At 34.2% G+C, this 13048-nt stretch overlaps 1 pseudogene; it reads right to left on the bottom strand.

Annotated features, from left to right (window-relative positions):
* On the bottom strand, positions 4469–5608 carry OR4V1P (olfactory receptor family 4 subfamily V member 1 pseudogene; annotated as a pseudogene).

Genomic DNA, 13048 nt, shown 5'->3' with positions numbered 1-13048 from the left:
AAATATATGCAACAAAGACCACACAGTTAGGCAGGATAATAGGAAGGGAAAAATAATTTACCACATATGTTGTAATTGTTTTGATTGTACACTAACCATCAGTAGCTCTGATTCAATTGTTCTGCTTCAATTGTTGTGAATCCATTCCTGTTCCTTCCTTTCCAGTGTTTTCTCTCTGTCCTCATTGAAATTCTGTTCATTCTCCTGTTATTTAGATTATTTCATTTCAGCTTCTTGAATGCCATATTTTACTTAGCTCAGTCTATTAGCAATTCATGGAAACAACAGTGTATCATTTTAGAGATAACTGACAGCTGTTACAATGGGAATTCGTATGCTCAGAGCAACAGTTTGAAGGTAAGTGGAATAATTTGAATATCCAAATAAGGCAAAACACAATCTATATATGCATCACTAAAATTATTTCTAGAGATGTCCAGACTCATATGATTAACTAAATACTTAAAGTATAAATTTTAAAACTGTGTTCCTTTCATTCTAGAGCATTGGTTATTCCTTGCAAGTTGTTTGAATTTACTTTCTGAAATGGTAAGCTCACCAAGTCCATTTCCTTTAGATTCAAGTTGGCAGGCTTGCTGCAGCTAGGATAGAATCTGGATTATAAATAGTATGCAAGCTGCAATTATCTTTGCATGTGATTTAGGAATCTCAATCATATAGTCTCGGGGGCTCCAATGACTGAACTCTCTTGCACTTTATATAGGGAGTTTTCTGATGAAAAAAAAAAGAACTTTTTTAACGGAAGGACTTATTATTTCCATAATATCCATAAATTGACTGAAGGGAGATGGACATCTCAGGCTTTTATGGTAGATAATGGTCTTCATCTTCCCTCAAAAAATGTATATATTGTGTTCTCTGAGAGAACTATAATAGGTTTTAGTTTGTTTACAAGTGCTAGGTAGAATTTCAGAAAAATATAAACAAACAAACTTTAGTATTCTTTTGTGTGGATATGTAAAACTTCCATTAAAAGAATTTGGAAAAATATAGAACATATTTTAATTTTTTAAAAGAACATGTTTTAATTTTTTCCCAAGCCCTTACATCATTTTCATATTTCTTTCTTTCTTTTCTTTCCTCTTTTAACTCTATATATAATGTTAGAGCTGACTTCCAAGTGCTATGTGAGCAGAATAAACCATGGCAAATGCATGTTGAGTATTTATTAGGCACCATATCCTAAGCACTCTGGTTTAATCTTCCCAGTGACCTGATGAGATGGGCTCTAAGAGTGTAAGGAGAAGGGAAGGAGTGAGGCCAGAAAGGATGTCGAGTGGCTTTGGAGATCATGAGAGTAGTCTGCTTCTTGATTCATGTGACAGTTACAGGGATACTTCCACTGTAATTCTCTCTGTCTCTTCTTTTTTCTTCTGAAGTCTTTATGTGAGATATTTAATAATTTGTAGAAGTGAAAAACATGTCAGACAATTCTAAAGCCATATCCAAGGCATTAAAGCTGCCTAGGGCAGGTTATGGGGCTTGATTTGACTCCAAAGAATTAATTTGAAAGTCATTCTAGGTATTCTATTTTTGTCTAGTCTATTTCCAACACTCCTAAGGTCATCTTTTTTCAAACATTACTACACTTTTATTCTGGATGTCTCCTCCAGTCTATGTAGCATTCCCACAATTATTTCTCTTCTAAACACACAGAGGTCTTTCCATGAGATCCCCTCTGATCGTCCCCTTCTCTGGCCCTACAGATACTCTTCAAGCTCTGATTTGGGGTCCTTGCATTGGTAACTTTGCAGACTTACTTTCTCATTCATTTGCTCAAATGAATTCTCCTTTCTCCAGTGAAAAAAAATCTACATTTATCCTTCTATGTTGGCTTTTTTTTAAAAAAAAGGGAATTAAAAAATGCGTATAAAATATATTCTCCCTCTAGTTTGAGGCAAACATTATTAAGGTATATGTGTGCACATTGATAAAACAAAATTGGTTCATGCTGTACATGCATTTTTAAGCTACTTTTCTAGTTATCAGAGTAGTACTACTCTTGAAAAATACAAATAAAAAATTTATCTTTTTCTCTTTCTAATAATAATTACATCCAATATTTTAGAATGTTTTAATATAATATTTGATCTTTGAATTTTTGCAAATTTGTTTATTGCATGTATTTTATACTTTCATATAATGAATTTTTTATTCCTCAATTTTTAAATAATAGTAAAAAAATATTTCCTTGTGCATTAAGTTCTTGGTAGAAAATATATTGCTTAAGGAATTACTGTCTGAGTGATGAAATGCAAAATTTTAATGAAATTCCTGTGCCAATAGTATATTGGCCAAATTTGAAATATAACTATAAAATAAGTAATTCCTTTTACTTGCTAACACCATCAAAGTGGGAATTAAAGGTTTCTTAGAGGCTGGTTGCATTAGAAAAGTTTCAACATTTATAGTAGAATTTGAGGGATCAGTGTAAACATAAGTAGGCTATGACACAAAAATGAGGAATGACTTAAACTCATCAAGCATGATATGAACAAAGATGGTGAATGTTTATCAGTAAAAATACTTTTTAGAATTTTTATTCAAAACGACATGTAGGTAGTGTATATTATGAAGCCAAACAAATGTGAAGATGTCATTTTATTTCCTACACTTATTAAAGACAGTAAGACTAGAAATAAAGTTTATCATTCTCAACCCTTTTTCTCTAGAAAACTGTAGACATTACTACAATGTTTTCTAACACTTGGTATTAGAGAAGTGGTAAAACCTAACACGATATTCATTTCTTTATTGGTGACTTGTCCCAATTATGATGTATATACTCCTTCAATATAAATTTGCTATAAATTGACTTCTTTATAATTTTCTCTCCCTTTCCTTCTCTTTTGTGTGTATTACTGTTTTTTTTTTTTTTTTTTTTTTTTTTTTGAGACAGAGTCTCGCTGTGTCACCGAGGCTGGAGTGCAGTGGCACGATCTCGGCTCACTGCAACCACTGCCTCCCAGGTTCAAGCGATTCTCCCGCCTCAGCCTCCCGAGTAGCTGGGATTACAGGCATGAGCCACTGCGCCTGGCCCCAGTGATGCTTTAAAAGGATAATGGAGAAGTGGCTTTTGCAGCTCACAGAGGACAGATTTGACCATCTTTTATTTTCCACGTTTTAAGCAAAATTCCCTGTGTACTTTTTCATTACATAGTTTATATTAGAGTGCCCATCATGTAAGATTTAGTTGACTATCTTCTCCGGAAGTAAAGCTCAATAATAAAAATACTATTTTTTTTAATATCTGAAAACCACTTTCAGTCTACTTCATTCTTACAGAATGCTAGAAAGGTTTTCGAGTTTCCATGTGCAAATTTCAGATGCAGATTATTTTTGAAATACACCATCAGCCTCAGAATTGCTTACTCTATATGACATAGACAGCATTCCTCTAGCCCAGAATAATTTCAAAATATATATACTCTTCCAAATTTCAGATACACTTGTGAAATTGTGATTTTGCTGATACACTTCAGTCCATTTCTGGCAATTATAAGTGAATGAATTGGATTCAAAGATTTAAAACCTGACTCAGTCATGGTATAGAATCATTTTATATATTCCTTGTTTTTTATCCAAGAATGTGTCTTAGGATATTTTCTTCTATGTCTATGAGACAAATTGGTTTGAAATTTGTTCTTCTTAAATTGTCCTTGTCTAGTTTCGGTATCAATGTATGTTTCGTGTTGTGTTTGTCCTAGAAAAGCTAAAGCTGAGTTAACACTGGAAAATAAATCAATATAATTCACCACCTTAACAGATTAAAGGGAAGAAGGAAACTAAATGTTGCCATCTCAATAGATCCAGAAAAATAATTTGATTAAAGACATCATTCATTCGTGATGAAACAACTTGTAGAAAATTAGGAGTGGATGAGACTGTCCAAGAGAGTTTTAGATATAATTTTGGACACAACCGAATCTTTCCCGGTAAGTCACAAAACTGGAATTTATAAATGGAAATGGTGATATATATTGGTACGTAAAGACTGAAAAAGATTCAGATAAATGCATTCTAGTGTTTGGTGTCACAGTAGGATGACTGCAGGTAACAATAATTTAATTATTATATATTTCAAAATAGCTGGAGGAGAAGAATTAAAATGCTCCCAACACAAAGAAATAATAAATGTTTGAGGTGACGGAAATCATAAATACCCTGCTTTGATCATTACACATTGTATGCATGTATCAACATATCACGTGTAGGTCATAAATATGTACCACTATTATGTATTAATAAAAAATGTATAGAGACAAAAAGGAGATTAGTCATTGCCAGAAACTGGGGGAAGGGGCATTGGAGAGTTAGTGTTAAAGAGCAGAGAGGTTTAGTTTGGAAAGAAGAAAAAGTTCTGGAGCTGGATGGTGATGATGGTTGAACCACAAAATGAATGTAAAGCCACTGAACTGTACACTTAAATGATTAAAATGGTAAATTTATGTTATACATATTTTACCACAGTAAAATTTTAAACTAGAAAAGGAAAAAATTTATAACCTAACAGCAGTCGTTGGAGACATGTACACTTTTCCTGCTGCATAAAGTTCTTTAGTACACTAAGTAGGACAAATCAGCTGTTTTTCTTCTGAAAATGATATTTGGTACCAAACTTTTCTCATGGCCTTTTTCATCTCTGTATTTCTCAGGTTATAGATTAGGTGGTTGAACATTGGAGCAATAATAGTGTAAAACAGAGCAGATATTTTGTCCTCAGGAAAAGTGAGAAGGTCTAAGGTAGGCAAAGATTGAAGGTTCGAAGAAAAAGATTACCATGGTGATATGAGATCCACAGGTAGAGAGGGCTTTGCATCTTCCCTCTACTGAATGATTTTTTAAGGGGAATAGTATAATGACATAAGAGCCAAACGACAGAACAAGGTTACCAAGGCAAACATTCCAGAATTGGCAACCACGAGGACACCAGTGATGCAGGTATCAGTACAAGCGACTTTCAGTAAAGGAAAAATATCTTAATATTAGTCATCAATTTTGTTGGAGCCACAGAAAGGCAACCAGATTTTCATAGAAAACTGAAACAAAGAATGGAAAGCCCCAACAGCCAAGCAACCGAGATTAGAGTATTGTATTTTGTCCTATTCATGATAATTAGGTAGCGGGGAGGTTTGCAGATGGCAACATAGTGATCAAAAGCCATGACTGTAAGGATGAAGATTTCAATGATTCCAAAGAAGTGCATGGGAAAGACTCCTATCATAGGAGATGTTTATTCTTCCCACTACTAGATCACCAATTATTTTGGGTGTGACACAGGAGGTATAGTAGATATTCATATAGCCTGAAGAAATAGTGCATTGGTTGGTTAAAAAGAGGACTACATCAAATAGAGATAAGGATCAGAAAGTTTCCCACCAAGATGGCAACATTACAAAATAAGAACACAAAAACAAATATTTGTATGTTCTGGATAGAGGAAAGGCTCATGAGTATGAATTTTTATATGTTCCTTTGACTTTCCATATGTTGTGTGCTATGCAAAAATAAAGTATCTAGGGAAAAATGAATTTGGATTAAAACATTTACAATGTAATCACAATCATGTAAAACTATCAACAGATCGTGGAATCTAGTTACACAAATCACTGAAGTTAATTCAGAATCAATATATTAACTATATTTGTTCTTAGAAATCATAACTGATTTCTCTAATAGTTTTTGAAACATTTTTCCAAATACTGTGTCACATTAGTAACGTAAGAATATACTTTATTGTTTGAAAATATAATGATTTAAAAAAATACTAGTTCTTCAGAACAATATATATCACTATTCTTATTTGTAACATTTAGAATCAACAAAAATTAATTAAATGCACATGGAAATTTCATTTATAATTTTTAATTCTGTTCCTTATTCATAACAGGGTTTTCATTTTAGGTAATTTTCCCTTCTCCCAGCATAGAATGTAACACTTCCCTGAACCGTGTGCAGACACATGATCAAGGAATGCATTTACATCTAAAAAATTTGCCTAAACTGAGCTGCATGATTAGTGGGCAATGTTCTTTGAAATGCAAGTGCAGGGGCCTTGGGAGTTGGGCACTGCATATTGAACTTGAGAAAATAACTTTGCTAGCTATGTTATAAGGCAAAATATAGTTGAAAATACAGCAAAAAGTTGGAGTTTTTCTGTCAGTTACTTACATTTTTAAATGGAAATATTGTTTATACCTATTATTTAAACTTTACTGTAAAAGATAATGTTTTAAGATAAACTCAAGAGTCATTAATATTAATGCTGCAAAGAAAGAAAGAAAACATAAATGCATAGGTCATTTGCATTCTTCACAATGTGTGTTCTGGCTGTACTAGAATAAATTATAGGCACCAAAAGTCAATAAAAGATAGAGTTATCACACAATGTAACTGTAAGATAAACTGTCGTCAGGACGTACTCAGTTGTTATATGTTGCATGATTTATTTTTCAGCTTTGCATGTTATTTTGTATATGATCAGGGCTGGACATACACAAAGGCAATGGAAGAATGTACTACAGACAGCATGCATTTCCAAATTCTATTCTCTTCATTCTTGAGGAATTACACAGCATCCATGTGGACTTTTTACCTTACTCCTAGATCAGATATGGCAACCATATCTGGACTCCACAGATACTAAATTATTAATAATGCAAAACTGTTCAGTGCAATAAGATGTATGATGTAATAAGTTCAGCATTTTCTAAATTGTGTAGCTGTATTACTAGTGATATTTAAGATTATTTGATGGTTAACAGATATAGCTTTAGAATACATTGTATACTACACTAAGAGTATAATTCCTGTTTCAATTTAGCTCGGTATCTTTGATAACATTATGAAGGGAAAGTCAAAATTGATCATTTTCTGTCAATATCTCTTTAATACTTTTTAGTCTCCTTTTTTAACACAAAGACATCAGGTATTATCCTCAAAATTATGAAAAAGTTATACTAGTCCTATAACATTTGATAACTTTTTCTTATTTCTTTAAATATATTGTCATAGTTAACAGCATTCTTTAATATAAATTTATATAAAATGGAAGTGATCTTGAAAAGAAATATTAAATAATAAGTGTGTCTAGCTATGAGCATGATTTAATAATTAAAATACCCACCTAATCTAACCATATTCTTCTCAGCATAGAAGGAACCAATTACAAAAAACTGAGTGAATTTCCTAGATCAAAGAACTAATAAACTTTAGAAGTTTGAAAACTAGATTTTCTAAATCTTACTCAGTTTATTGCTTGCTCCAATAAGGAAGAAGGCATGTATTAGAGAAGATAGCAGTGGGAGGAACTACCATACTTCTCAGCTTATGACAGGTAATAGACTCTCGGATCTTTGTAAAACATACCACTATAATTATAAAACTAAATGTATGATGTAGCAGCTCTCTGCTATGGAATCATTACAAAGTATTAGGCTTTCAATTTAACTACTATAACACTTAATATTTCATCCTGTACACATATGGTAATAAGTTATGATTTGTGGAGGTAATGCCGGATTGGCAATGGGAAAAACTTCAATATTTTAAAACAATATTCTCAAATTTCAGTCTCAATGTTCCATACCAATAGAGTAAAAAGACTTGCCTTATACTCTTTTCAAATAACATGAATAGAGAAAAATTCATTTAATCTTCAGAAACTGTGCTTTTAGTTTTAAAGTCATGAAATACCAAGTCTGCCAGTAAAAAAAAAAAAAATAAGAATTTGGATTAATCTATAAATATTTGGATATTTATATACATAATTTTTTTTCACTGAACTACTACACAATTAAATATGTTATTCTTTAAGAAACACTCATTACTATCCTGGTACCAAAACAGTAATTGTTGTTCCTATGGATTGATGCAGTCTTATGTCTATTTTGATTAGGAATTTATTCTAAACCAGATGTCGCATGCTTTGAACATAATAGAAATTCATTTACTATTTGTGGTAGCTGTGTTATTGAATACTTGAAATTTTAAAGAGTTTTAACTGGAGATCATAATACTAGGGATTGCTAATTTCTCTAAGAATGTTTCACTTTAAGTTTTCATTTAAATGATAATTTCAAAACATATATAAGTATGTTCTGAGTCATCTTACAATCAATTTATAACCAGGCATAACCACATAATTTCAGTGTTCAAGTGTAATTGCTATATTGATGGCTTTAAGCACTGCTATATTGTGATTGGAGGATAAGAAGCAAGCAGGCATGAATTATAGTCCATTATAAACTCACATTCTGGCTTACATTGAAGGGGCTTTTTTTTTTTTTTTGTCAAAATGAAGCAGTCCATGAGAGGCTGTCTCTCTCTTGGAATTAAAAAATTCAGTGTTTCCCTGCAAATTGAATACTTAACCCTTACCCACAGTTGCCCCAGGGTGAAGCAACAAGAAGATGAAACACTGGCAGGTAATTCCTGAAACTTTCTCCCATTATATACATTTTCATGAACTTTAAACATTATTGGTATGAGTTTTGATAGTTAACGCAATGGAAAAATACTCAGAATGTTGAGTAAGGAATTTCACTTTTGTCTGTAACATGAAATATCAGAATTTCCTCCTTCTATCCTCCTTCTAGGAATACAGGATTGTAAAGAGAAGAGTGCTGCAATGAACGTACATGTGCATGTGTCTTTATAATGGAACAATTTATATTCTTTTGGGTATATACCCAGTAATGGGATTGCCTGGTCAAATAGTATTTCTGTCTTTAGGTCTTTAAGGAATTGCAACACTGTCTTCCACAATGGTTGAACTAAGTGACACTCTCACCAACAGTGTATAAGTGTTCCTTTTCCTCTACAACCTCACCAGCATCTGTTGTTTTTTTACTTTTTGATAATAGCCATTCTGACTGGTGGGAGATAATCTCATTGTGGTTTTGATTTGCATTTCTCAAATGCAGCCATACAAAATAACAAGATCATGTCCTTTGGAGGGACATGGATGGAGCTGGAGGCTATTATCCTAGCAAACTAATGCAGGAAAAGAAAATCAAATACCGTATGTTCTCATTTATAAGTGGAAGCTAAATGATGAGAACTCATGAACACAAAGAAGGGTATAATAGACAGGGGTCTACTTGAGGGTGGAGGGTTGGAGGAGGGAGAGGGGTAGAAAAAATAACTATTGGGTACTGGGCTTAATACCTGGGTGATGAAATAATCTGTAGAGCAAACCCCCATGACACAAGTTTACCTATGTAACAAATCTGCAAATATAATCTTGAACTTAAAATAAAAGTTAATAAAAGAAAAAAGGGAAAGAAAAGAATGGTCTCATGAATATTCTGACTTCTCTTCTACTTGGAGTAATGCTACATTGTATAAATGAAAAACACAATGACCTAGTGCTATATAGAAATTTTATTCTTTTTTACTCTTTTGCTTGCAACAGTCCCATGTAAATGGTCCAGGCTGGCAGCGCATATCCTCCTTTTCATTCAGAGACTCAGGTTCCTTTCAAACTCTTGCTTGATCACCCCTAGGGCCTTCAGGGTCAAAGTGTGAGCCACATGCTGGAATTATTGCACAATCTTGGGCCCCTCCCTAGACCTGATGAATTGTAATCTGAATTTAACCCTGGGTATTTCATGTATACATACCAATCTGAGAAGCATAGCCACATGGCATGGTTATCTATAACTGTGACACCACCAGCCTGGTATTAGGTGTCAAGAAGGGGCTATGATCTTGAGGAACACACGTCCAACATTGTGGATTTCAGCCTGCAAGTTACACATATTCCTCTGATTACATCCAATTGACAAAAACTTAGTCACAGAGCTACACCTAGATGCATAGGGGCTGAGGAAGGTAGGCACTGCTCAGGTGGTTACCTTTGTATTGCTGCAGAGGAGGGAAGAATGGGCTTTAGTGGACAATTAGCAGTCTCTGCCACAGGTACCTGTCACCAACAGCGTCCACAGAAATATTCCCTACTCAAAATTAAATTCAATTTACTGACTCCCTATTATTGCTGAGAACTATTTTAGGCAGCAGTGAAAAGGAAGCCCTGTCTTTATAGCCCACATTCTTATAGAATATGCCATGTCAAAAGCCCAATAGCAAGTCCAGGTGTTGTATGAGTGTCTGGGATTTGAAAAAAAAAATACATGAATGTTTGTTTAACTAAGGACTGCCTATTTTTTTAAGAAAATGTTTTAACTTTATATTTGAAATACCCTCCAGCAATATAAACTATCTTTTTCCAGGATAGCTTTAATTTCCCAAATCCTTTTTCATTATATCTTGTGGATCTCAGGTCAATTATAAATAGAATTCTCCATAATTTCTCTTATGTGAGCATCTTCTTTATTGTTTTGTTTTCCTGATTCTCCCCTCCATAGGCTGATTCTGCTTAAGTGGATATTGTTTTTCTCCCACAGTTTATATGCCAATGAACCTGAAAACAAGATTTTATTGCCATCATTTTTTATTAATTTTAGCTCATACCCCTTCTCCAGTACACGATTTTACCTATTAAATTCAATTAATTTGTCTATCTCTTCCACTTATTGTACCCAAGGTCTCGGTACAGATGAGTTTACAAGCCTGGAGCTAAACTGGGTTTAAAATTTGGTTTAGCGATTTATCAAGCAAGTAACTTAATCTTTCTGGATTCAGATGCTTCTCTGGCAAAATGATTGATAGCAGTAGTGAACTTATAGATTTGTAATGAGGATTAAAGGAGGTAATGTTTATAAAGTGCTTAGAAAAGTGCCTGGGATATGATAAGTGCTCTATAGATATAAGTCACTATTTTTGGTTTTATTTGCATCTGCTACCACCTTTGTCTGTCACATCAAAAGTGTTTAAATAAACTGAAACATTTTAAAGTATTTTTTGAATCTTCCCCATTGTTCAAAAGCAGGGATCATCTCTATGAAACAACCAAGTTGAGGTTCTCAAGTCATATTGCTTAATAAAATTGGTTGAAAGAGTTCAAACTTTGGAATGAGAAAGACACATTTAAAACCTGGCACTTCACCAACACATTATACTGGAGACAGTAACTCACAGGAAATATTCCATATGCTCTGCTATATTTTATGCTCCCTTTCAGTTAGGTGGAAAAATCTTAGAAATTATCTGCCTGGCCACTGTAGATATATGAAATATGTCTTCATATTGGAAATGCAAGACATGTGAGTGGAGATAATGTGTTTCACATTTAGGCTGAGTCAATAAACATGCTCAAGTCTCCAATATCTTTTGTCTTCTGCCAGGGCAACTGAGGTGTCTGTCTTTCAGTTACAAAATGATGATGTGTTTTCAGCTTGCCCCTATGTTACTAGGTCAGGCAAAGTCCTAAATTGCAAGGAACATGTATGTTGAGTGGTGTTGTTCTTTAGTCTGTCTTGAGTTTCACTCCACACAGGCACACCTTAGTATTCTTAGTATTCAGCAACTATCTCAGGCTGCACTGGACCCTGTGAAGACTGCGTAGCTCCTTCCTCTCTAGTACTCTGCTCCACAGATTACAGCTTCTTCTGCTACCCTGGGCTATGATCTCTGTTTCAACTGTGATGACATGTTGGCTTCTCCGTGCCTAGACCATGGTCCAGAAGTTTCCCCTAGCAGAAGCCTGCGGCAGTCCTAGCACTCCCCTAATTAGTTTCCCTTCTCTAAGGGACTCCCCAGTTCTATATTGCCTAATATTAAAAACAGGTGTCTTATATATTTTGTCTAGGTTTCAGTTACTTATAGCAATAGGGGAGACCAATAACTCCATTGTCTGGAAATTTTAAGCACTATGTTTTCTTAAAAAAGAAAAAATCAGGCTTATTTCATGTTATCTTCTAAAGATGTTTAATATTAATTGCACAAATGATAAACTACTGCACTTGCCTTACTTATCAAAGGAGAACATTACAAGGGAGTACAGTGACCCCTCGGTGTCTGGTTCCAGGGCCACCGTGAATAACGAAATCTGTGGATATTGAAGCCCCATATATAAAATGGCAGAGTATTTGCATATGCCCAGTGTACAACTTGTTGTAGACTTTAAATCATCCCATGATCACTTGTAGTACCTAATACAAGGTAAATGTTATATAAATAATTGCTATACTGTATTTTTAAGTTTGTATTATGTTTTATCGTTATTTTGTCATTTTTTTGGTTTTGGGTTTTTTTTCCCCAAATATTTTTGATCTGTGATTGGTTGATATTGAACCCGTGGATGCAGAGGGCTGACTGTATATGGTTGTCTTTAAACACCACTTCTCTATCACTATCTCCATCACTATCTCCCATGCCCCCACCTTCAGTGTAACTAGATTTTTAAAATATTTTTAGCTTACTCTGTATCTTTCCTTCTTTGTTTCTGGTGTATCCTACACAAATAAAATCCCATAAGTAGTACTTAATTATTTACTTTGTGAAATACTTTTAAATATCTCTTTTTCAAATAGTCATTTTCCTTATACAATTTATTCACCTATTGATTCAAACTTCTAATCACATCACTCATTAAATTATTGAATATATATTATATTATTGATATTTGTTTCTAAGACAATGGGAAGCTAGGGAAGGGTATAAAGCAGTAAAGTATCATAATATCTAATTTGCACAGAATCTGAATCATAAACCCAGTTTTACAATTTTAAAAGCTTCCTCTCTGCCGGGCACAGAGCTCATGTCTGTAATCCCAGCACTTTGGGAGGTAGAGGCAGGGGAATCACTTGCGCTCGGGAGTTCAAGACCAGCTTTGGCAACAGGGTGAAATTCCATCCTACTGAATATAAAAAAATTAGCCGGGTGTCATGGCACGTGCCTGTAGTCCCAGCTACTGGGGAGGCTAAGGCAGAATAATCACCCAGGAGGTGGAGACTGCAGAGCCAAGATAGTGCCACCGCACTCCAGCCTGGGTGACACAGTGAGACTCTGTCTCAAAAAAAGCTTCCTTTGACAGCCACCGAGGAATGGACAGTTTTAGCTCTTACACATTTCTGAAAGAATGACTTCTCCTTTTGGGAAATACATGATGTTCTCAGCATTGCAG

This window comes from Homo sapiens, chromosome 11, assembly GCF_000001405.40.
Source record: "Homo sapiens chromosome 11, GRCh38.p14 Primary Assembly".
Taxonomy (NCBI): domain Eukaryota; kingdom Metazoa; phylum Chordata; class Mammalia; order Primates; family Hominidae; genus Homo; species Homo sapiens.
The sequence above is the reverse complement of the archived record's forward strand: the minus strand, read 5'-3'. Positions and strand labels throughout refer to the sequence as shown.